A 26,464-nucleotide genomic window follows, 5' to 3' on the forward strand; every position below is an offset into this window, starting at 1 on the left:
AAGGGACATTTTTTTAAGATCATTATTTAAATGAAACTTCAAATTTTTCCATCTGTTGCCTCCATGCTGTTATGATTTCTTCCAGTCACAGTTGCCAACATGTCCACTACAGCCCCAAGGAATGCTCTAAAAGCTCAAAACTACTCTTGAAAGCCTGTCTCAAAGGAAATAGACCAGAAAGATTAGGAAGAGGGAGGCCTGAGAAAGCAAGCATCATTTCATAGGGTGGACAGCTGCCAGTTTCTGCCTTCCCAGCATTCACACCTGACTTCCTTTAGTGACCTAAAGGGATGGGCAGAATGACCCAGCCAACTTGCTCTTCCAGGAAAACTTCAGGATGGAAAACAGCTCCTGCTTCATCCTGAGGTGAGTCCCGAAAAGACTATCCCTAATTTCCCAGTATTTAGAACCCCAGAATTGCCCCACTTCCTTTTGAGACCAGGTCCATATACAATTCATGCTTTTCCCTCAATCCTGGGAACTGCTCCATGGCCTACCAGTGGATTCATTTTTGGCTTAAGTAGCCAGAGTTGGTTTCTGTGCCCCAACTGATAAATGTTCCAACATGAATTTCTAAACATAAACAACCTCAAACAAGGCAATGATTACACGAACAAATGCAACTGTGTTTGCCTTCAGGTTCCCAAAACAGAAGTGATCTCATCCCCAAATGCTGTTTATGCTGTATATTCAGCTGTCACCACCCTGGAGTTAACCCTTCCTCATCTATCCTCCAGCCCCAGAGCTCTGGGAATATCTACATCAAGAGGAGAGAGTACTAACACCCACTCCCCAACACTGCCAGGGCTCAGGGGAAGGGCCACTGGATGCTTGTACGAGTCAGGTACATGCTCCTTTAACCCAGCCCCATGTCCCTGAAACAGGTGCCACCAGGGCAAGGCAGGCTGAGGGAGAATGAATGGATGGCTCCCCACACCTCCACAACACCACTGGGCCCAAGTACACCAAATACAAATAAAACCTGCTGAATCACTTTCAGTTCTTTCGTTCTTTGTATGAACATCATTCACTCCCTTTCTCAGACACTTGTTGAGCCCCTTCTACTTCTACAAGTGATGCAGGTCCAAAACAAACAGCATTCCACGACAGAGAGCCCCTTGGGGATGGCAGCTAAAGCTTATTAACCTCTGAAAGCTCAGGGTCAAGTGCAGTGTCTACAGGTAGCAGCTGCTCCATGAACCTGGTGTTCTAATGATATGAAATGTACAAAAATCACATACCACACAGGAATGAAAACTTTCTTCACACCATGTTTGAGCCAGTGTGCAAAGTTGAGTGTTATCAGCGGGAAGCACCCTAGATGCTGTGCTTTATTCTTTGGCACTTTGCTCTTCCCTAGGTGTCTCCCCATCCACTCATGCCCTTGCTCATTCAACCAGGATTTATGGGAACCCCAGTCCTGCTTCTCTGACATGTCTTCAGTGGAGTCCAGCCTACAATAGAGTACGAGATTTGACAATTCTTCTCACTTTGGCAAAAAAAAAAAAAAAAAAAAAAATCAAGAAACCTCAGGCAATGGACTCTACAGCACAGGAGGAACCAAAAAGCTAAAAAGCAGTAGGGGCTTTGAGGGCTGAAGCAGGAGTGGAGAAAGAAGAAAGAAACAGTTGGAGAGATGTTCTCCAGGCTTGAAATAGAAATGCTGAGCGGCTGCAACAGATTTCGATCTGCTAATCTGAAAAGTCACATTACTTGGTCCTGATGTGAATCAGTGAAGGCTCTTTTTTTTTTCATATCTGCCCATATATTTCCACTGCTCCATACGCAGGCGCCACCACCCAAGGAAGCCGCTTGCCTGTTACCTCAGGGCAGAGTGACAGCGGGCAAAGCGGGGATGTGAACAACTCCAGGCACTCAGCCTTCTGTCCAAGCTACCAATAGATCCCCAGGAATGCTTGCTACAAACCTTTGGGAGGTTATTCCTCCATGAATGAATGCTTACAAATGAAACAGAGGCCTTTAATACATTGCAGCGAGAGACACAAAGGTCAGGGCATTGAGGCTGCACATTTTTAGAATTCAGCTTTCTTTGTTCTCTACCACCTGCATCCTCCATCCAACGTCATCCCAATTTTAAACTCCCCAGGGCTACAGGAATTTGCTATTGGAGGCATTAATATTACAAATATCACAGCTATGCTGCCTCAAAAGTAAAATTTTACTCTGGGCAAGGTGGTGTGTACCTGTAATCCCAGCACTTTGGGAGGCTGGGAGGATCGCTTGAGGCCAGGAGTTCAAGACCAGCCTGGGCAACATAGCGAGACCCTGTCTCCAGAATAAACATTAAAATAAAGTAATAAATAAATAAAATTCTTGCACATTTCCATACCACATTTCCAAGGAGACAAGAGTGGGTTGTGGGTTTCTTGACAATTTTTATAACTATATATGATTTTATAACTGTATATGATTTTATAACTATATATGGCTCTCAATTATTCATGAGAAGACAATAAGTAAGTCTTTAGAAAACCCTTAGGATTTTTTCAGCTATTAGTTTCACCCTCCTGGACCCAACTCACAGCGCTAACAAGTAGTAAAATGAGCCATTTCTTCATTCCCCACTTCCCCGGAAGGTGAGGCCAGTCAATACCGAACTGATGAAAAGGCAGGCAGGCAGGCAAAGCCTGGAGGGAAATGTCACAGGTCATGTGCTCCACAATTGTCACAATAACTTTGAACTAGAAATAATTTTTGTCCCCAAGAGAGCCACTCCCTCCTCACTCAGTCTTCCTGAAATATATTTTATGTTCTGGTTCTCATTTCCTAGGATCTTATTCATTTGCTACCAGGATCAGCATACGCTTTTTACCCAAGGTAAGAGAAGGTTTGTATCTCTAATACCATCTAGCAGTTATTCAAGCATTTGTTCAGTAATTCTAGAATCTTATTGCATTGCTCACAGTCGGCACTCACTGTGTGAGTGGCACGGTGCTGGGCCCAGACAATACACGAAGAACAAGATGATTGAGGCATAGCCTGGGAGGCAGCCATTCATGACACAAATAGCTATTTAGTGACCATTGTGATGTAGCTTTAAAAGAATACAACTTGTGAAATCCATTTCCTTTCAAGACCTGCCCTTAGAGAAGAGAGGGAAAACCCGCAGCAAGGCAGGTGTGTGCCCACAGGTTAACGTGACTTGGGGCACGTCTGAATAGGAAGCTTCCACCTAATTCTTTTTTGTACTCTGGGAAAGCAGCATGGGCTTTGCACCAAAATGCACTAATTTATGTTAAATCAAAATATTGGGGAAAACTCTTCAACTAAAGCACAACATTTCAGAAAGAGAGTGTGCACAGCCCCACTCATGAAGGAGGCAGTTGGCCTGACGTTGTCCTTGATGTCATCCTTCCATACCTCTGGTCACCTTCCAGCTTCCTCTAAGCTCTACCCATCTCCATTTGCCTCTGGACACCTACCTCCAAGCTCATTTCTACTAATTCTAACAGAGATATTGGGTGAAAATGGCCTGGTTCAGAATTGTTTGCATTTTAAAGGAAGATTCCAGAAGACTGAAAGAAATCTTTCAGATTCTAAAAATGGAAATGATAAAATTATCTCCTTGACCCATCAAACCACCTCCAATAGAGTCCCCCAAACCATTGCCCATTCCTAACCCATGGAGAGAAATGGGTCCACCTGTTATATGTGCAAACCCTGAGTCTGTGTCTTATTTCTATGTGTGCTCACTTCTAGCACGCTGGCCTCTGAAGCACCTGAGGTGACAGGGAAACATGTGAAGCCATTTTAAAACAACAACTGAATCCAAAGTGGCAGCCTGTGTCAAGATATCAAACTCAGATCAGTTATCACTGAAACAATGTTACTCAAACACTTAACCTTGCTGTTGTTGTTTACTCATCCTTCAACTGTATACTTTTAAAGTGATACAGAATCAGTCTTGTCCCAAACACACACACACACACACACACACAAAACTGTCCTTATATGACCTTGACATAATTTTAGCAAGGACTTTCCAGGAAGAGAATCTAGTAAAGCACCAGTAGGCATTATCTTTCTGAATCATCATAACTGCCTCTTGCTACCACAGAAAACGTAATTTTTGAAGAATGGGAGAATGTAAGCCAGATTCAGAAAGTTAAACATACACCTGTGGGGCAGCCTCAGCAGTATCATTTATACCCTCTGGAATTTGTAGCCCCAGAGTCCATTCCAGATATTATTGCAGTAACACACCTCACTATCCTGCAGCAGGAAGCAGGCACCCCACAAAAGTGGGAGCAGGTAGAGAATAAAGAACTAAACTGAATCACATCTAGCAAACAGACTTCCCCTGTCGTATTCTCCCAAGCCCTGTTTTTCCTGCCCTTCTCTCTTTCCTGGTCTAATACAATTATTTTCCAACTGGCTTCACAATGCCAGAACTCTTTTCTCACAGGCTCCCCCTTCGCTCTGTTCTGTTGAATTGCATTTCCATTTCCAGTCCTCCAGTTCTAACAGTCTGGGTCTACACAATTGGCTGTGTCTTCCAGTGTTTCACCCACAGACACATGAGAACTAGTTTTGCAACCTACCACCACCCAAAACCCAAAATATTTAAAGGAGAGTGAGAGAGAGAGAATACTTCGTGTATTTACATGCAGGAGTACACCACAGTAGAAGCATATCAGGAATCAAGAGGCTGGACACCGACTGACAGGCACCAGACCAGGAGTGATCAGGGAGATCTCGCGCTCCCCCACTTAACCCTCCTTGGCTGCCCAGTGCACCTGGAAAAAATTCCCCCTCCCTCCACGGCCTACTCTGGGTGTCCTGGCCTTTACCTCCATCTCCAGCCTCATTCACAGCATCCGCTATTTCTCTCCCCATGCTCACGCCACTCTGGCCTCTCTCCTGTTTCTTGCGTAGGCCACGCTCTATCCCACCTCACGGCCTCTGCACCTGCTGTTTTCTCTGCCTAGAATGTTCTTTCCTCTGTTCTTCACAAGGCTTGAGTTGCTATTGTCTCAGGTGTCAGCCTAGAAATCACCTTCTAATCCCCAGAAAGGCCACCCCTGGCTACCCAGTTTAAAGTTGCCTGCCTACCCCTGCCCACACCCTCTAGATTCCACCAGTCTGTTGATTTCCTCCATTCTAGCTCTTACTTCTGAAATAATCTAGCTTTTTAAAAAGCATTTCTGTCTTGAGCACTGCAATATTTCTTCTTTTTTTTCCTCTCTTGGGTAACACTTGAGGAAGAACACAGTTATATTTAAATGTCTAGCTCATAGTATTTGCTCAATAAATATTTGCACAACAGGATACTTAATATGTGATCTATATACACAGTGGAATACTGTTCAGCCTTAAAAAAGAAGAAAATTCTGTCATTGGCAGCACCATAAATGAACCTGGAAGACATTATGCTAAGTGAAATAAGCCAGGCACAGAAAGACATACACTGCATCATCTCACTTACATGTGGAATCTAAAAAAGTTAAATTCATAGAAGTAGAGAGTAGAATGGTGGTTACCAGAGGCTGGGTGAGGGGAGTGGAGGATGGGAGAATGGGGAGATGTTGTCCAAAGGGTGCAAAGTTTCAGTTAGAGAGAAGGAATAAGTTTTAGGGATCGATTGCACAGTATGGCTAATAGTTAATGATAATGTATCATATATTTAAAAATTGCTAAAAGAGACTTTAAATGTTCTCACCACAAAAAAAAAAATGATAAATATGTGAGGTGATGGATATGTTCATTAGTTATATTTAATTTTGCACAATGTAAACATATATCATATTGTATCCCATTATATAACATCACATTATATCCCATAAATATAAATAATTATTATTTGTCAATTAAAAATAAAATAAAATTTTTAAAGATGCACAACAAATAGTGTTGACAATGGAGCAGGTAAACAATACTCTTGATTTGATGCTGATGAGAGTATCAATTAATTTAGATTTTCTGCAGGAATGTTTTGCAATATGAATCAAAAAATAAAATGTACAATTTGAGTCCTAGAATTCCACTCCTAGGAGTTATCCTAAGGAACTAATCAGATAAATGCTCAATATTTATGTACAAGGATATCCATTGCAATATTGTTTATAATAGTAGGAAAAAACCCTAAACAAAAATATCTGTCAACAAAGAACTGGTTATTTTATGGGCATGTGTGTGCACACACACACAGAAATCCTAAGTAGCTATTAAATTAAAATAATGTAATTCTGTATTTCTTGACATGGACACATACCCATAACATAGATTGTTAAATGACAGAAGCAGATTTCCAAACAGGATATATAATATTTTTTTAAGTTTGGAAAGTAATTGTAATTAGGCCTGGTGCGGTGGCTCGTGCCTGTAATCCCAGCACTTTAGGAGGCCGAGGCAGGCAGGTCGCTTGAGGCCAGGAGTTCAAGATCAGCCTGGGCAACACGGTGAAACCCCATCTCTACTAAATTACAAAATTTAGCCAGATGTGGTGGCACTTGCCTGTAATCCCAGCTACTCAGGAGGCTGAGGCACCAGAATTGCTTGAACCCAGGAGATGGAGGCTGCAGTGAGCCAATATGGCACCACTGCACTCCAGCGTGGGTGAGAGAGCCAGACTCTGTCTCAAAAAAAAAAAAAGTAATTGTAATTATTTCATAACAATTATAATTATTTTATAACAAACAATTTTACTATTTCTAGATGGTAGGAGTTCAGGTGATTGGGGCAAATAGAAGCATTCCACTAATAATAGTCACAAAATTACTTCTAGAACACTGTTTTAATGTCAATATGTAAATATTTAAAAGAACGACATATATAAAGTATTTGAAAAATTCAAATATTTGAAAAAAGTTATCACTCTGCATTTATATTATTTAATCCAAATTTACAAGAGTATTCATTTTTGATTTTTCTCTTTTCTATTATTTTCTGTCACTTTCATTTTTTTCAAGATGATCCATATCTATTCAACAGCAAAAACATAATTAGCTCTTTCATGGGGACTGCTCCCTGGAAAAACCAGACAGCAATCCCTGTGGCCATGAAGTCAAAACTGCCTTAAATACTTTACAAATCTACTGTTTAAATGTCTAACAGCATATCTGCAGCTTGCAAAGAAACAATGGAATTACCTCCTTAGAAAATAACTCATCATGCATCTTTCAGCCATGTGGACAGTGAAATCTATAAAAAAGAAATAACTACTGCAACCAAATGCAAAAATAGGTATCAATGTCCAATCACTTATTTTCCTCCTACCTTGGGAGTTATCTTAGCTCATGGGCAGCCAGTTCACAGTCCCATGTGTCTTCAAAACTGGCAAGAATGGCTGCTTACCGGGAAAAGACCATCACCCATTCACATAAGCCCTCATCCTCACCCCTTAATACGACTTCACTCACAAACTCCTAGTGTATAATAGAAATCTAAAAATAACATTGCTTTTTGGAATTTAAAGACTCAAAGTTGAAAACTTCCCAGGCTTCACTCCAGCAATATTGAAAATGCAGATTTTTTTTCTACACCAACAGAAGCTTGGGGAATTGGGACCAAAGGCAATGAGGTTCAGGGATCCATCTGCTCTGTGCTATCCTGGGGAGAAGCAGTTACTGCTATTTTGGAATTCTCAGAATGCTTAGTAAGAGTCTTATAAAAGAACGCAATGAACACTAACATAACATCAGTGTAGGATCCAGGAACCAGGAACCACAAACCAAGCAGAATGGCCTGGGAGAGTCTTGAACACACCTGTGGCAATCCTTGCAAATAAAAATGTATCAACTCATAAAAATGGTTTTTAACCAGTATCCTTTTTCTTGGTATTGGTTCACTGATCATATACAATAGCAAATTAAGGCTTTAATGTCATTGTTTTCCCCTTCATCATTTACATAACCAACGAAAATTCTCTTAGCCTTTTCGATGTTTAAAGCACTATGCTAGGGTTTTGCCTCAAAGCATCTTGTCTCAGGCAGCTTACAGTCCGAAGGGGAGAAAAATGTATAGAAGTTATGCAATAAGGTTTAAAAAATGAAATAAAAGGCATACATATTAGAAAGGAAGAAGTAAACCTTTATTAGCAGGTTACATAATTATATATCTAGCAAATCTGAAGAAATCTATCTATAAACAACTACAAGAATATGTGAAGTAAGGAGAGAAACAAAATAGAGTTAGTATACCAAAACAAATTGTATTTCTATATACTAGCAATCAGCAATCAGAAAACGAAATTTTAAAACAATAAATACCATTTACAATGGCATAAAAAATCAAATACATAGGAATACATTTAACAGAAGATATGCAAGACCCCTACATTGAAAACATTGCTGAGATAATGAAAGAAGACCTACATAAATGGCAAGATATACAATGAACATGGATGAAGATAGCAATTCTCACAAACTGACCTATGGATTCAACACAGTCCCAGTCAAAACCCCAGCAGGTATTGTTTTGTAGAAATTGACAAGCTTATTCTGAAAATTATGTGGAAATTTAAAGGATCTGAAATAGCCAAGACAACTCTGAAAAAAGAAAAATAAAGTTGGAGGACTTAAACGGCCAGACTTCAAGACCTACTATAAAACTATAGTTGTTAAGACAATGGGCAAAAAACTTGAATAGGCACTTTATAAGAGCAGATATCCAAATAGAAATTAAACATATGAAAAGGCGCTCAATATTGTTATTCATCATGGAATTAAAACAACATGCCTCATTAAAATCACAATGAAATACCACTACACATATCATAGAATGAAAAAGATGCATACATCAAATGATGGTGAGGAATTTCCAGCTGGGGTGGATGGGAGGGGCAGCACTCAGCAAGAGAATCACATTTAAAACGACCCTTAAAAGAGGGGAAAGATTCGGCTGTAGGGAGAAAGGGAAATTAAATCAGATTTGTCAAGAGAAATATATCAGGTTTAACCACATGAAATTTCTGATAGTCAACCATTTTTCAACCTTCCAAAAATGACAGTATCATCTGGCTAAGTTTAACACAAAGACAACAACAGAGTTTGTGAAGGGCAGCTCTTTGGGCCCTCCGCTACTTAGAGAAAAGAAGAAAAGCCAGAGAGAGAGCAGACAGATGGAAGAAAGCAAAATAATAATAATAATAATAATACATTTAATAGGCTTTATGCACTTTGGGAAATGTAGTGCCTTAATTAAAAATCATCTAATTAAACACTCTTGCCCAAGGAGCTGACAATTTACATAAGCTATACAAAGCCAAAATACATACAAAAAGTTTTCAGTATCACAATCATCAGAGAAACAAGCATTAACCATGGGACACCATTCGAAAGATTTTTCTAAATAATTGTATATTTTTCTGGCAAGGGTTAGAAAAACACTCTCACACATTTTTTTCATAAGTGTAAATTCATACAGACTTTCTGGAGAACAACTTATCTGTATGTGTAAAATTCTTAACATTTTCTATATCTTGTGACTCAGTAATATCACTTCTAGGAATTTATCCTAGGAATGTATCATGTACATAATAAAAAGTGCACATAAATATGTATGTAGAAAGATATTTTCCACAACTTTATTTATAATATAAAAGATATTAAAATAACCTAAATGTCCAATAATAGGGAAATTTAGAATATTGCAAAGTTATTTTTTAAATCACCCTTTTATAGCTGGGCATGGTGGCACACGCCCATAATCCCGGCTACTCAGGAGGCTGAGGAAGGAGAATTGCTTGAAGCCGGGAGGCAGAGGTTGCAGTGAGCCAAGATCGCGTCACTGCATTGCAGCCTGGGCAACACAGTGAGACCCCGATTCAAAAAAATAAAATAAAATATCACCCTTTTATAAGAATATTTCATGACATATAATTATATAAAAGAAAGCTCACAATAAATCTCGTCTTTAAAATGACATTTGGAAGTTGTCCTGTTTTTGATGATGAGAATATAGAGATAGAGAGATATACCTATATACCTATATATAGATGTAACATGATCGGAAAGAAATTATATGAAATGGCAGAATTACAGTAAAAATATTTTATGCTTTTTTTTTTTACTATAGCATGGATTACCTAAAATTTAAAACAAAACAAAATATATATTATTTTTAAAGCTACTTGTCTCAAATTGTCAAGCAGCATACAAAGCAGTCCACAGGGTATCACATGGGCTGCTGGCACATCTCCTAAAAGGAGTGTACAAAGATGGGTTTGCCATAAAGCTTCAGGAGCTTAAGCTTCAGGACCCTTTCTGAGGGCACACAAGCCCCTTTGAAAGCCCTAGGCAGGGTCCTAATGCTGTACCTTCATGGTGATTTTTTAAAATGTTTGCATTAATAAGGTATTTCAACAGCGACTGGTTGAAATTGCTGTCTCTTTTCACCACAGGTTCTCCTTTGTTCTCACATAAGGTAGCCAGAGTTGCACTAGATGTTTTTGGAATCTGGCAGTTGAATTGGAACACCTCGAGTTAGAGGTTTTGCAGGACACCATTAATGAGTTTTGTGATCATTTCTATGTGTAGTTAAGTGATTGCTGTCTGTCCCATGGTATATAGGACTTTCAGGAACGTTCCTACCACCCACTGTGCTGATTCACCCAGTGACATTTACTGACGGTACAAGGCGAGAAGACATGAACAAGTCCTCAGGTGTCTAGCACTGAAGTGGCAAAGGAGAAACAAGGTTTGAAATGTACAGAGCCAGAAGCTAGTCTATGGGAAAAAATCACCCAATCATCAGATGTGGTACAGAAGGTCCAGCTTTCATCAACATCTGCTCTCATTTTTTCAGGATTTGATGGGACAAGTGGTACAAAGGCAGAGGGTTGGTTAAGCTATCAAGTGGACTAAGAAGGGGAAAATGGCACCAGAAGTACAGTCTGGTATCTGTGGGTTGCTTCTCTAATAGCAATCCACCCTCTGGGCAAACTCGCATTCTATTCTATAAAGTTCTCCCAGTCTTTATCTCAGAAGTTCCTGACATTGGTGTGACAGCTGATTCTGAACCCCTAGGAGACTGACCTAGCTTCCTGTTGGCCATATTCTCTTCAAGATCTTAATTTTTGTGCCCCAAACCCAGACTGATGACCTGTATACTTTTTGACTGGTTTTTGAGTCTCAGAAATTAGATTTATGGCCATCAACCCTGACTGCACTTGATCAGCAGCTCTCACGTCGGTTCCACAGGAAATCCTCCACCTCTTCCTGTGGGCATATTTACTTCCACACAATATTATTACTGATGTGTATACAGGTTTACATCTACTTTCTTCTATAAAGAACTTGAAGATGCTTGTAAAATATATGCAATAAACTAGAACAGTGGTTTTTTAATCAATTTAGGGTATATCAATTATGATTCCATTCAGCTGTGACTTTTTAATCAATTTTGGGTGGGGCCATTATGATTCCATTCAGCTGGGAACTTTGTTGTACTGCTCCATCATTTCTTCTCATGTATGGCTTCTTTTCCATAAGGTGATAACGTGGCTGCTACACCTCCATGCATCACAGCTGCATCCCAGGCAAAAGGAAGGAGGAAGGGGAAAAGACAACATCACAGACTTCTGCTTACTTTATATTGGTCAGAACTGTGTCCCCTGGCCAGTTAGCTGTAAGACACACTGAGAAACTGAATATTTAACGGGGCCTATTGCTCTGAAAAAACTCAGATTTCTCTTAGTAAGAAAGAAAGAGAACATATAACAAGTAGACAACTCACAGCAAGTGCCACACCAAGAAAAGTCTAAACCTCATAGATGTTACCAAAAGGAAATTTTTCCCTATGTGTCCATGAATATTTATGGAAACATAACTATAAAACTATAGGATTACATTTACATAATACTATAGGATCATAGTAATGTAACAGGAGGTTCAGCTCTCATTGAAATCTTCTCTCATTTTCTCAGGACTTGATGGGACAATAGTGGTACCAAGGCAGAGGATTGTCTAATACTATAATATTATACAATGTGTGCTTGTATAATACTATAGAATTATGTAGGTCTGATAAATTAGAATAATCTGGATAATTATTTATTGCATCTCTTAGGGTTTTCTTTTTCTCCTTTATAGTTCTCCCTTCTGAGGTTCCTTCTTATTTAAATCAATAGGAGAATCTTAATAATAAACTTAAGAGACATTGGCAAGATGAATCAAGACTCATGAAAATGTTTCCACGTTGGCTAGGTGCGGTAGCTCATGCCTGTAATCCCAGCATTTTGGGAGGCCAAGGCAGATGGATTACAAGGTCAGGAGTTCAAGACCAGCCTGGCCAAGATGGTGAAACTTTGTCTCTAAAATATACAAAAAAATTAGCCAAGCACGGGGGTGAGCACCTGTAATCCCAGCTACCCAGGAGGCTGAGGCAGAGAATTGCTTGAACCAGGGAGGCAGAGGTTGCAGTAAGCCGAGATTCCACCGTGGCACTCCAGCCTGGGTGACAGAGCGAGATTCTGTCTCAAAAAAAAAAACAAACAAAAAACTGGAAACAAAATAAATGTCCCCAAAGAGAATATCAAATAAATTATGGTCATTCTAATCTATGAAATAGTATGTAAAAAATAAAACTATTATGAAATATTATAAAGGAATATAAAACTTGTGTATGCTATCATTAAAATTCTAAAAATACATATAAATAGTATAAAGACCAAAAAGGAATAAAAAAATAACATGTTTATTATAAAACATGAAACGTGTTTATTAAGAAAATGTGTTATGAAGATTTTCCCTCTTTCTTTTCTCAACTTTTGAAATGTTTTTAAAATGTTTGTAAAATAGTCTGCTAAGAGAACACAGGTGACTTATTGTTAGTAACCAAGTCAAGCTAATGAGTGACACACACAGGCTTGCGGAGAAGAAAAATCAGTCTCATTCTCCCTGGGCAGATGCTGAACCACCTGCCTGTACCGGTTATAACAGAAAGCCTCCCTAAAAATAAAGCCAAGAGGTTGGGAACATAGAAATGGAATAAGATTTTAGCAGCTACATAAGATTTGCCACATCTCAAGGCCATTAAACTCAATCATGGGAGTGAAAAAGTCAACTCTATTTTCCACAGTTTATATGTGAGAAATAGAAGCTCAAAATGACTCTCCAGAGAGAATGCATCCTCTCACAGCAAAGAGGATCTAGGGAACCAACACAAAATAATACTTGTATTCACCTAAGAGGCTTCTGGATTGAATAAATCCTCTCTGGCTGCATCTTTAACCATGTACCCAAATGCTGGTGAACAGGTAACTATAATTACCTAAATAATTACAGGTAGCTATAATTACATAAATAATTACAGGTAAGTATAATTACCTAAAGCAAATAGCACGCCTTCCTTCTGAAATGACACACACTTGAAGTTGTTTTTCTAATGGTGATGGTAGACTTATACAATTGCCTACACTTGTGACCCTGCTGGCCCTGTGGCCCACCCGTGACTCACACCTGCACAGTGACCTGTGGCCTAGGATTGAGAATTCTGCTTGAGGCCAGAATGAAGCAATGCTATATCATCTTCCCCATTCACGCCCCTTCCCTTACAGGCCCTTCCTGAAATCATGTAGTCTCTCTTCATCAACAGCTAGTCACATAACTCCCCAAATTAAGTAATGTTCTCTATTCTTTCCCTGTCTCTCCTTTGCAGAGGCTGGTGGAGGGGGTGGGGTGGAATTGCTAGTATGAGCCTCCTGGGATGCCTTAGCACTACTTGGGTGAAAGGTTCATTCCAACAAAACTCATACCAGATTGAAAGGATCATTTCCCCACTGCCTGGAGAAGAACTGACTGTGATGATCACCCCATCCTATGGTTCCTCCACAGGGTTCAAAATACGGAGGCCGCATTGTGTCCATGGATGGGAGCATGGAAAGAAACCTTTAAAAGCTGGACCAAGAAAGGAAAGAAGACAGAAAAGTAGGAAGAAATCCTGATACTGGTGGTACCAAATGCCTCTGAAATTGTTTCGAAAGTAAAAGTTAAGAGGGAACTAATAAAAAGTCTGTAAAAATGAGATAAATTAAAAGAAAGATATGATAGAGAGAGAGAAATAATATCCCTTAACAGTCTGTCAGCAAAATTTAAATTATACTTTAGGCAAGTGTTAGAATGCCTGCCCGTCCTATCCCTTCCCCTTCTCATGAAATCTGGACTGCCCACAAACTTAGTAGACAGCAGGCCTCATACCCCCATTCCCTTTAGCGACTACTGATTGGGCCAAGGACAGACAGCAGACTGGAAGGGGCCCTACACCTTGGTGGGCCAGATATCAGTTGAATTCACTGTCTCTGGAATTTGACCTCTTACCTGACTGGCTGCTGCTCCTCGGTTCTCTTTGGTGGCTCTCCTCCTCATCTCCACCTCTAGATATCGGGGTACCCCAGAGATTAGCTCCAGGCCTCCTCTGCTCTATACACATTCTCTCTCTGGGTGATTCTAGCTACACCTCTGGCAAAATTTAGCTAATCTCCAGTCCTGACCTCTCCCCTGCTCCAGATTCAAATATCCAAGTAGCTGCTTGACAGATTCATTTGGAGACCAGGTAGGCACCTCAAAACTTAACGTGTCCAAAACATGAATTTATTTTCTCTCCTCCCTCACCCCCATCCTGACCCTTTCCCTGTCTTCCCTCATGTCTACAAATGGCCACCCCATGCAACCAGTTGCTCTGGCAAAACTTAGTCATCAACCTCAATTTATCTCTTCTTTTTATCACACCATGCCCAACTCACCTACAAATCCTGCAATATCCCTACACAGCCCCTTCTCGCCAGCTCCACTGCCACCACCCTAATCCCAGCTGCCATCACCTCTCAAGGGGATTACTGTAATAGTCAGCTACCTGGTCTCTTTGTTCCTACTCTTGCCCCTCTACATTCTATTTTTCACACAGCCACCACAGTGATCTTTTAAAAATGTGAATCATGATCAAATGTAACTCCTCAACTTAAGACCCTTCCAATCAATGGCTTTTTATTTCGCTTAGAAAAAAAGTCCAAATGTCTAACCATATTACAAGTCCCTTTGTGAGATGTCCCTACCTCTTGCCTCTCAGACCTCAAATCCCACTACTCACCCCTAATTCATTATGCTCCAGCCACTGTGACTTCTTGCTAATCTTTCAAAGCACCACCTTCACTCCTCACACACAACCTTGACTCATGCTGGCCTCTTTGCCTGGAATTGTCTTCCCCAGATCTTCGCATTGCAGGCTCTGCCCATGATTCAAGTCTATTCAAATGCTCCTTCGACCACTTTCTTTAAAGCAGCATGACATTCCCCCATCCAATTACCTTATTACCTTATTTTATTTTGCATTCACTCATCAGTATCTGAAAGTGCACTGTTTATTGATTGGTTTGCTTTTTATCTGATTATTGCCTGAATCTTCCACAGGAGACCAGGGCTTAAAACAGTGCCTGGAGCACTGTAGGCGCTTATTAATACTTGGTAAATGAAGGAATATGAGTCTTAGCATCTACAGGCAGTCAGTGGTGAGTTGTAGACTGCAGAGATCAGAAACATGCTTGAACCTAGTGGAAGAAGCTGGCTGAGAAGATACAGAGAAGCCAGAAAACTCCTGCCACTGGAGACCACCGCTTCATTTCTAGTCATTTCCTGCTGCAGTACCCATGAAGGCTGGCTGCATTGCAATATCTGTGTTTGGGAGTTCGCTGTGTCCTTTCCATGAAACCCCCTTTATCTCAGCTAGCTTCAGTGAGCTTTAGCTTTGTGCACACAAACAGCACTGAGTACCAACTTAGACCAGACACTGCAGAGCTACCAGCCGGCCTTGTTATTTGTTTCTTTTCTAACCCCAAACTAGCAAACGCATCCTGGCTATGTGAGCTGGACCAAAAAGGACACTCTGCACAACCACCGTATTTTCCCCGTTTTCTAGGGAGAGAAACTGAGACCCACAGTTGTGTGTGTCTTTCTCATGACATCTGCTAGCACCTGGCAAAGTCAGAATTTGCAAATAGGAAGGATGAGCACCTCCTGTCATGGAACATGATCTCTATACATGGAATCCACTCTTTTGGAAGGCACATGGCAGCCTTTGCTGTCTATAAAGGAGGAAATATAAACGACTCTGTTGCCCATAACCCAGTTTTTATTAACTACGGCTTTAAAGTGTCAATGTGCATTTCTTTAAGAGGTTATGGGCATAGCAACAAGGAGCCCTATGTATAGCAACAACTGCTGTCATTTTAACAGTCCTTTTCTCACGCACCTCCCACAGCTAATCACTTGACAGCTTTAAATGAATATGAACTGCAATGCATAATTAATAAATTCAATTATTTTCTCTTTGCACATCTGAACACATAAAGCAATCTGCCAACATTTAAGGAAGTCCCATCATGCTACAAAGCGTAAAGTCATATTTCAGGAAGTGAGAAATTAAGACACAAGGATAATGGCAAATTTGCCCAAATATTATAAAGCACATCCAGCAAAGTGCCACAGCAACGAGGCAGAACTACTGATTCTTCTGCCTCCAATTATTCAGGCCTTGTCAAATAACAGGGAAGACGTGATTGCAAACACACAGCCATTTCACTGCACTTCTCAAGCCTTTTTAATAAAAATAGATCCCTGCTGCCACTTACCTTCTTAAAAAAAAATCCGCCCAAGGAAATATAATTCAGTTATCTTCCAATGACTTCATATGAAAGGTTAATGGCACAGTGTGCTGTTGGCAGCCAGCGGTGTTTGCTATTTCGACTTCTCACTTAAGAGTTCCATTATTCCGTACAACCCCAAGCAAATGCCTTTATTTAAACCACCTCCAACCAACCTTTATAGCTTAATGCTAGGTTCATCTTGACAGCTTCCTACAAGCATTCATTTCAAGACTGGCCTGCAGAATTACCCAAAAACAATATACCACGGCACACCACATTTTTTCAGATAGCACAAAGGGAGCGGGAGGCAGGCCAAGTATTTTACTGCAGATTTTAAGTGCTGGCTCCTGGGCAAACTATTGTTCTGTTCCTGTCAGAGCTGGTCATAGAACTTCAGGGGACCTCAACCCTATGGGATTAACATATTCTTGTCAGGAGCTGGTTAGGGAGAAGGAATTTAACAGGTGTTCCCACTCATCAAAGAGAAAGCCTTAGGAGATTCATTTTACTCAGAAGGAAGGCTCTCAAACAAAAGTGTGGGCTCTGGGGAACCTCTGGGAACGCTAAATGTTCTATGAAAACTCTGCATGGTGGGCATGAGGGCTTGGGGCTCCCATAAAAACTGTGATTGCAAGGAGACAGAAGGGCTGGCGTGTGTCATACCTAATCAATGGTTCTTGAATTATACAAGACCAGTGGGCTCTGAGGCTCCAGCTGGTCTGGGTCTCCAGCCCACTCATTTAATAGTGAGGCAAAGCCTCTTAGAGTGTGCAAAGGCCTGAGGGTTTGAGACATGGGAGAAGTTTTGATGCCAAATAAGGTTTGAAGGAAACTTTTTGTTTGGTTGGTTGGGGTTTTTTCCCCCAAAGTGTGGTGTCCAGCCCATCTGCATCATAATCACCTGCAGCACTTTGTAAATGTTCCGATTCATGGACCCCTCTTTTTACCTTCTGAATCTAAATCTCTGGGAGGTGGCTTTGTATAAGTTCCCCAAGTTCGAGAACTACTCCCTTAAGAACAGAAGCAATAAAAGGGTTCTTTTATGACCCTTTCTGTTGGTGGCTCTTCTCTTATTGTGAAAAACAAAAACGAAAAGAACAAAATATTCAAGCTTTTAATAATGTTAGAAAACGTACTGTTTATCATAATGTCAAAAAATCACATGACCACAATATAACCAGCCTACAACTGGGTCTGCTTAGAATTCAAATATATTTACACATTATTTTTGAGGTTAAACCTCTTTAATGAGTCATTTTGTTTTCACTGTCTCAACAAAGCCCTTTTCATATAGAAAATTGATCCTTAATGTCGTTGGTAACACACTGATGGAAATAAAAGTATGCTGTGGCACAAACGGGCCCTGGGCTTCAAAACAGTTTAGCTCATTTACGCCTATTTCTGATTTAAGTCAAGGAGAATTCAAATAATGGTAAAAAAAAAAAAAAAAAAAAAAAAAAAAAAACCCCAAAAAAAACTGGCTTTGCGCATGCGCACTTTACCTCTTCCGAACTCTGCAATTCTCCCATTAGTTCAGTCCATCAGCCTGCGGACTTAAGCCAGACATCGTGCTGACATTTAAAGATGATTCCTCTTTCGTCATAAAAAGAAACACAGAACATCGTTTGATAAACATAAAAATTAAAGAGCTCTGCTGGCAGTCCCTTTACAAGGCACTGGAGAAACCCTGGGTTGGGCACGACTGGTGCTTTTACCAACACAAGCCTAAGGGACCCCTCTGGCTGCTGGATTAGCCCTAAAGGCAACCATTTGGTTTACCGGTGTAAATATGAGCTATTAGTGTCTGGTGGTGCATTAGAGTGGCCCCAACCTACTGCTTTGCCTCGTAACAAACTCACAATGAAAAGAGCAGAGTTGAGTGTTGTATTTACACTGCCTGACTAAATTTGGTTTCATAGCCCAACATCCCCCTCGCCCCTTCCACAAGGATACTCATTAATGCTGCCACAACCAAGTTAGTGGCTTGTTTTCTACCTCTAAGAGTGCAAAAAGCAATAAAAAGGTGTCAGTATTTGTCCTGAGAGACTTTCTTTTGGTGCTTATTATTCTCAAATAATAGCCCTTTCAATGGGCAGTTATTTGAGAAGCTCTCTCTTTTTTTTTTTTTTTTTTTTTTTTGAGAGGGAGTCTCGCTCTGTCGCCCAGGCTGGAGTGCAGTGGCGCAGTCTGGGCTCACTGCAAAGCTCCACCTCCCGGATTCACGCCATTCTCCTGCCTCAGCCTCCTGAGTAGCTGGGACTACAGGTGCCAGCCAAAAGCTCTCTTTAAAGGTATGATTGACACCTGAGCTCTCTGTCCCTGCCAGAAATTGATACAAATGAAAGGAGCTTCTTATTGCAAAATTTCCCAGGATCCTTCTCTAACTAAAATACATGTGGAGCATCCACAACCGGCCACCTCCAACTCCCATTCCAGATGGTCAAATATGCAGCATCCACAAATGCCCCACATAGAAAACTTACCCCTAGGCATTGTTTAACATTTGCAATTACTATTTCCTCAGTCATGGCTAGAATCATTATTTTTCTTTATGTTAGAGCATCAGGAAAGAAATCACCAGATTTTTAAAATTGAAAAAAAGAAACAGGAGCGAATTTTCAAGACCACATGGTGGTTAAATAGAAGCCTATTCACTTCAGAAGATTTCCTGGCCGTAAGAGGCTGAGCTCTCCCCCACCGCAGGGCGCAACTGTAATGGGGCTGCAAATTCAGGTTAGCATTAGGTCTGCCTCTCAGTCCCTGGCTAAGGCCATTCCTACCAGGGTTCTGACTCAAATAATTTGCCAGTCCACGGGTGAATAATGCAACAGAGAGCTCAGAACAAAAAGAAGAATTACTACTGAGATGCAAACGTCTCCTCTACCTAGTTCCAAAAGGGCAAAAGAAAAGTCAATTTGTTTCACTCCTTGTATTTATTAACAGTGATTTTTCCTTCAGTAGATAAGGAATGAGAAAATAACTACAGGAGGCAACACTCATAAAAGCAAAATATAACCTCAGTGTCTTCCCCATGGATGAGTTCATAAAACCTGACTCAACCCTAAAATGGTAACTGGCTCCATAACTTTGACTCTGAAATTGTCTAATTAAATCTACAAACTCAAGCCAAGAAGACCTTTTTCTTGAATTGAAATAATTTATAAATAGCAGACCAGTATTTCAAACCAGCTCGGCATGATTTTGGCTTATCTTTGGCAATAAGCAGACCATTCTAGAACACCCTATAAGCCTTCCCATAACCAATTAAAGCTTGATGGCTGCAATTATAAATATAAAAGAAAGGTGAAATGCCTCTGTGAATGGGGATAATGAATCTTTCCTGTGTAGAAGCTTAGATTACAACTGGGTGATCCAACACAAGGCTAAAGGGTTCCTTTATTCTTTTTATCTTTAACTTTTTAAAAAATTAGACTAACATGTATGTATTATCAAAGTCAAAAAGCACTCAGCCTGGAAACAAAAAGAGCAGCCAATTTTGCTCCATCCCTATCCCCTCCCAGTCTCATTCCCTCCAAGTAGGCACTCTCAACTCTTTTTAGCTATTCTCTATGATCATAATCCCCACATTTTTACATTAACTCTTTCATTGCTATTGTTTGTTTCCTTTTTCCATTTAGACAATATCTACTTCCTGCTGTCAAAGAGTTATCACCTAGCTGTTGCATAACTTTCTCCCATTTTCTGATCCCATCATCACCTCTATATAGTCACATCGCTATTTTGATTAAAGCAATACAGTATTTACATTGTTACGACTATGATTCCAGACAGCTTTGACCAAATTCTGCCTCCACCAGGCACTGGGTATGTAACCTTGTGCATCATTTTCAACAAATGTAAAATGACAAAAGTATCCACACCTACCTCATGGGCCTGCTGTGAGGATTAAATGAATAATTATGTGCCAACATTTACACAGTGCAGGTGCAGACTGAACACTCTCTAAATGCACAGTCAGAATAGATTTCCTTTCTTGTTCATGCCTTTTCTTTTGCCCTGGCCTCATTTTTCATTTGCTTAATTTTCTACATTACTTTCACTTATGTATCCTGAAAACAAAACCCTAAAATTTCTTTTATTACAGATGTTGTTACCACTAGGGAATGTATTCGAATCACACAGCACCAAAGTAGGTTAATGGCCGCGAATCTGTATGAGTCTGCAGCAACTTCACTTCTTGCCTCTTCAGAAGAAGTAATTTGACTGAGGGGCATAAGGCAAAGTGAGAGACTGGGGCAAGTTTTAGAGCAGGAATGAAAGCTTATTAAGAAGTTTAGAGCAGAAACGAAAGGAAGTCAAGTACACTTGGAAGAGGACCAAGGGGGCGACTTGAGAGAGTCAAATGCATGGCTTGAACTTTGACCTGGAGTTTTATATGCTGGCATGCTTCCAGGGTTTATGCCCCTTCTCCCCTGATTCTTCCCTTGATGGGGTGTTGTCTGCCTGCTCAGTGGCCTGCCAGCACTTGGGAGGGGCGCCACACGCAATGTGAAATTATACACAAGCTCACTTGAGGCGTTTTTCCCTTACCAGCAGAGTGTTCCCAGAAGAAGGTCATATACCAGATAAACTCCACCATTTGGCCTCTTAGTCCACAAGCTTGAACCCGCCCAACTCCGGAGATCTTATCAGGAAGCAGCTGATCACCACTTTCAGGTGTTTTCTATCTATTGGAAGACTGCCTTTCCCTGGTGCTGCCTGCAACCAATTACTATTTTAGTGAGACAGTTTAACAACTCCCTGACCATCACCTGATGGTCTCCTGACTTTCCCGGTTGGGTTGGTGGGGTGGGAAGAATAGAAGTTCTGGGAAAATGAGTAAAATTCACAATGGGTGATTGGCAGGAACTTGTCTTGTTAAGAAATCTGCAGGTGTCCGTATCTTTTGATTTGCTAGTCAATTTCCCCACAGAGCTATTCCCCCATTCCTGCAGGGTCTGTACATGCACACGCCTGGTTGGATGGAAGGCAGAAAGTCTCACCCTAGATCTTCACTTAACTTGGGGTGTCTCAACCTCAACACTATTAATATTTGGGGCCAGGTAATTGTTTGTTGTGGGGATGTCCTGTGCATTGTAAAATATTTAGCAGAACTCTGCCATCTACCCACTAGATGCCACTAGGAAACTGCCACCCAATTGTGAAACAACAAAAAATGTCCCCAAACATTGCCAAACGTCTTATTTGTCCCACATCTGGGAGTTCCCAGTCACCCTCTCTAGACAGTAAACTCCTATCTATGCAGCATAAACAGTACTTCCCTAGCATGATGATGGAAGAGAGGGGATCTTTTTTAAACAAATCTTCCTATCAACCCTACCTTTAGAAGTATCTAGTGCTGGCTAGGCATGGTGGCTCATGCCTGTAATCCCAGCAATTTGGGAGGCCGAGGCAGGCAGATCACCTGAGGTCAGGAGTTCAAGACCAGCCTGGCCACCATGGTGAAACCCAGTCTCTACTAAAAATAAAAAAAAATTAGCTGGGCATGGTGGCAGGTGCCTGTAATCCCAGCTATTCAGGAGGCTGAGGCAGGGAGAATTGCTTGAACCCAGGAGGTTGCAATGAGCTGAGATTGCGCCACTGTGCACTCCAGCCTGGGTGACAGCAAGACTCTGTCTTTAAAAAAAAAAAAAAAAGTATCTAGTGGCACCAATATTTGAGCCTGTCTGGAATTTTGTGGCAAAAATTAGCTTGCTTATAATTGGCTTTAGGCTTTTAACCAAGCAGAAAAAGCTAAAACTCAAGTCAATTACCATTCATCCAACTGCCTTCCATATTTCAAAATTTTGTTGACTCTCATATATGGTCATCTGATTTCCTATTTTCTTTGTCCTTATGAATTTATGCTGCTTAATCTTTTTTCCTGACATTTTTGCAGTGTTAAGGATGGGAAAGAGTCAGCAGTAAACATTGCATTTGGGTACCATGTTTAAAACATGTTTAAATTTGGGCACCTAAAATTTCTCAATTATTTCTCAAATTCTAAATTTGAGAAATTAAAAAAGCTAACAATTCTCATACAGTCAAGGAAAACATCACTTGAGCATTGCTCATCTGAGTGCACAAGACTGTACAGCTCTTTTGTGCACATTTTATCAAAATACCACAGTGTATGATTGGAAAAATATATGGAATTACAAATATTGCACTAAGACTAAACCAGGACAAAAATATCACAATCCAGGTCTGGTGATGTTGGGGTTATTTTGAGATTAAACAAACCTGTAGAACAGAGGCCTCTTATTCCCAATGAATCTAATGTAACCACTCTTTTTCCATATTAAAGATGAAGTTTTATATCTCAGAAAGACACATCTATACCATCATTATCTCCCAAAGTCAAGTGGCTCCAAGAATCTGTCCACCTAAATCCAGCCACTTCTCTCCATACCCATAATTACCCTCCTCTTGAATCAAGTCACTATCATCTCTTGCCTGGACTCCTGTCTAGTCTGCCACTATTCAGTCCAGTCCAATCCATCCTCTATAAGTGTAATTTTTTCAAAGAGCAAATACAATCATTTCTCATGCTCCCACACCTCAACCCTGTCAGAGGTGTTTGAACCAGAGCAAATCCTTCTTGAATAGGGGCTTGGTAAAAGGAGGCTGAGACCTACTAGGCTGCATTCCCAGACTGTTAAAGCATTCAAAGTCACAGGATGAGATAGGAGATCAGCACAAGATACAGGTCATAAATATATTGCTGATAAAACAGGTTGCAGTAAAGAAAAGCCAGCCAAAACCCACCAAACCAAGATGGCAATGAGAGTGACTTGGTCGTCCTCACTGCTACATTCCAACCAGTGCCATGACAGTTTACAGATGCCATGGCAACATCAGGAACTTACCCTATATGGTCTACAAAGGGGGAGATATGAATAACCCACCCCTTCCTTAGCATATAATCAAGAAATAACCATAAAAATGGGCAACCAGCAGCCCTCAGCGCTGCTCTGCCTATGGAGTAGCCATTCTTCATTTCTTTACTTTCCTAATAAACTTGCTTTCATTTTACTCTATGAACTCACCCTGAATTCTTTCTTGTGTGAGATCCAAGAACCCTCTCTCAGGATCTGGATTGGGACCCTTTCCAGTAACATCCTTCTGGCAAACCATGGAAGGGACTGTAGTGAAGAAACCCCCCAACCCAAAGGCTAATTTTGGGTAAGTGGTGGGGTCTGGTAACATCTTTCTGGCAAACCATGAAAGAGATGATACTGAAGAACCCCACACCCCCCAACCCAAAGGAAATAGACTGCAGCACTGATTGGCCGGCTTTGGGTAAGTGGTAGGGCACCCAGGTAAAGGATGGGATTGGGTTAGAGACCCAACTTAGGGGAGTTAGAGTCTCTCCTAAGACAGAATGGGTTAAAGGCCCCTCTTAATAAAAGGCAAGGACGCTTGACCAAACTTGGGTTTGAGGCCCAACTTAAGAAGGTTAGAATCCTTCTTAAGATTTAGAGGGTCAGTAAAGTTGCTTTCGACCAAGACCGGGTTTGGCACTATGGGATGTTAACTGCTATTCTCTTTGGATTAATCTGCCTTGCAGTCTTTGCTGACGGCTATGGGTGACAAAATTAGGGATGTACAAGACCATGGGACATGAGTTTTTTCCTTCCCAAAAGAGGAAACTTGAGAGCTGATGAGACTGCTGGAAAAGATCCCTTCACAACTGACAAGCAGCTGCCTGAACTTTTGAGAAATGGCTGGGTCTTTCTCTGGCCTCCCTGAGCTCTTCACCTTCCCCACCCTGCCTTAAGCAATGCTTTCCTCTCTCTCTCTCTCTCTCTCTGCAAACTGGTTAAATGAATGGTAAAAAATACTGTTTATCTCCTCTGTAAAGTTTTGATTAATGGGAAAAAAAAGGATTTGTGAGGCTAATCTTAAGCTGCAGCAAATCTTTTGCGCTTTGTGATATGAATTTGTCTTTCTGTATCTTTCTGTCATAGAGAGGGTTACCTTAGGATAGAACATGGGCTTAGAACCCCATAAGCCCTGCTTTCAAGATGGCCCAGGAAACTGGTCAGTCATGTCCTTGGGAGCTTGACCTTGTAACCATGTGGCCATGCTTTCTCTTTTCACAATGGTGGCCCAGTTTCAGGGTTCAATTCCTGGCTTAGGGAGTGAGTTATTCCTGATTTAATATCTGCATGACCTTTACCATTTTTTATTCTCTTCCCCTCCACAAACTGTCTTGAATTTCCTTTCTTAGAGTACCTGTGAGGTTACTTTTAGTAAAGTTTAAAAGCCAGAAATATTTGCCATTTGGCCAGGCTAAAGATGAATAATAAAAAATTCAAAAGGACGTTTTTAAAGACTGCTATGGTTAAAAGTCAGCTTAATTAAAAGTGGGTATTCAAGTTCTAACAGCCTGGAGTTCCTTGGGAAAAACACAGGAGGTGCCATAGATCCTGTTTTCGGGGAAAAAAAAAAAAAAGAACAACCTCTGTTTTCCTCATGGAACCCTAGAAATTAAAAGTAGATAGATCTCCAGGAATTAAAAGTAGATAGATCTCTTTCAAAATCTAAGGCTTTGTTCTGTTTTCCATTGCATTATCTGATGTTTTTGACTAAAACAAAAACAAAAACAAAAAACCTCTGTTTTCCTCATGGAACCCCAGGAATTAAAAGTAGATAGATCTCCAGGAATTAAAAATAGATAGATCTCTCTCAAAATCTAAGGCTTTGTTCTGTTTTGCATTGCATTATCTGACATTTTTGACTTTGGGGAGCATCAGAAATTACTTCAAATTATGAGACAGTTCTGGTGTGTAATAACTAGGTAGGAAATGTCCTTTTGGGGATGGGCTGATTCCCTCTTTTTAGGATCCAGAATCTGATATAAAACTGGGACCCTTAATTTTGGGGGAGCTATTTTGCCTTCCAACTGTGTTTGCTTATTAGGCCATAAAAACTACATGCTTTCCTGGCCCTGGGGTCCACCCTGAAGCCAGTAATTCAATTAAGAAACAGGCAAATAGGCCGGGTGCAGTGGCTCACGCTTGTAATCCCAGCACTTTGGGAGGCCAAGGTGGGTGGATCACAAGGTCAGGAGATGGAGACCATCCTGGTTAACATGGTGAAACCCCATCTCTACTAAAAACACAAAAAATTAGCCAGGCATGGCGGCAGGCACCTGTAATCCTAGCTACTTGGGAGTCTGAGGCAGAAGAATGGCATGAACCCGGGAGGCGGAGCTTGCAGTGAGCTGAGATCACGCCACTGCACTCCAGCCTGGGCAACAGAGCAAGACTTAGTCTCAAAGGAAAAAAAAAAAAGAAAGAAAAAAAGAAAAGAAACTGGCAAATGAAAAATATTACAACTACTAGATCTTCTTCTGTCTGTATATTTCTATATGTTGTGTGTGTGGTGTTTACATATGAAAGAGCTTTAATTGGCTTAAGAATAATAAGAGCTTAAATATTTTAAAAGTAAAAAGCGTAATGCCTTTTAGTTCACATGACTTTAGTAATCTTTGGAAAATAAAAACAGTTTTACATGGAAGGTGTGTAAAGAAAGTGAAAGGTGTTTTTGGTAAAAAAAAAAATTATAAAAAGTAATGGGAATGTGGATTTTTGGCCTAAACTAAAGGATTAAAGGGTTGTTTTAAGTTAGATAGGATAAAGCTGAAGGTTTAAACAAGTTGTAGAAGGTTTGTGAAAAATTTATCTCATAAAGGAAATTCTGTGTGTGAACTAAATTCTGTGTGTAGCTACAGTTAAAAGGGTATTCAGTTTTTCTGTAAATTAAACATTGGACTAAAAGCACAACAGGTTTTCCTTGAAGCACTAATCTAATCTGCTCTTTAACAAAAACTTGTAAAGGGTTATAAAAGGTTTATAAGAA

The 26,464-nt window shown here is 40.5% G+C and overlaps 1 protein-coding gene and 1 long non-coding RNA gene across 13 annotated transcripts in view, besides 2 other annotated features; one reads left to right on the forward strand and one right to left on the reverse strand.

The window, feature by feature from the left end:
• NCALD (neurocalcin delta) overlaps positions 1-26,464 on the reverse strand; it is a 438,366-nt gene that overhangs the window by 376,973 nt on the left and 34,929 nt on the right. The window lies entirely within an intron of this gene.
• LOC124901997 (uncharacterized) lies at positions 281-13,876 on the forward strand. Its single transcript, XR_007061038.1, has 3 exons — positions 281-366; positions 2,792-2,838; positions 13,794-13,876. It is a non-coding gene; the product is annotated as an uncharacterized LOC124901997 (long non-coding RNA).
• Positions 2,576-3,154: an enhancer, noted in NCBI's record as "OCT4-NANOG-H3K4me1 hESC enhancer chr8:103078318-103078896 (GRCh37/hg19 assembly coordinates)". NCBI's record gives its function as "activates a minimal SCP1, AML or CMV promoter by ChIP-STARR-seq in primed H9 embryonic stem cells {active_cell/tissue: H9 hESC(primed)}" and the evidence as "EXISTENCE:reporter gene assay evidence [ECO:0000049][PMID:30033119]".
• Positions 17,510-17,679: an enhancer, noted in NCBI's record as "experimental_100837 CRE fragment used in MPRA reporter constructs". NCBI's record gives its function as "activates a minimal promoter by MPRAs in K562 erythroleukemia cells, with activity observed for the non-introgressed 8:103093337 variant allele {active_cell/tissue: K562}" and the evidence as "EXISTENCE:reporter gene assay evidence [ECO:0000049][PMID:34662402]".

The sequence above is a fragment of the Homo sapiens genome, chromosome 8, assembly GCF_000001405.40.
Source record: "Homo sapiens chromosome 8, GRCh38.p14 Primary Assembly".
Lineage (NCBI taxonomy): Eukaryota > Metazoa > Chordata > Mammalia > Primates > Hominidae > Homo > Homo sapiens.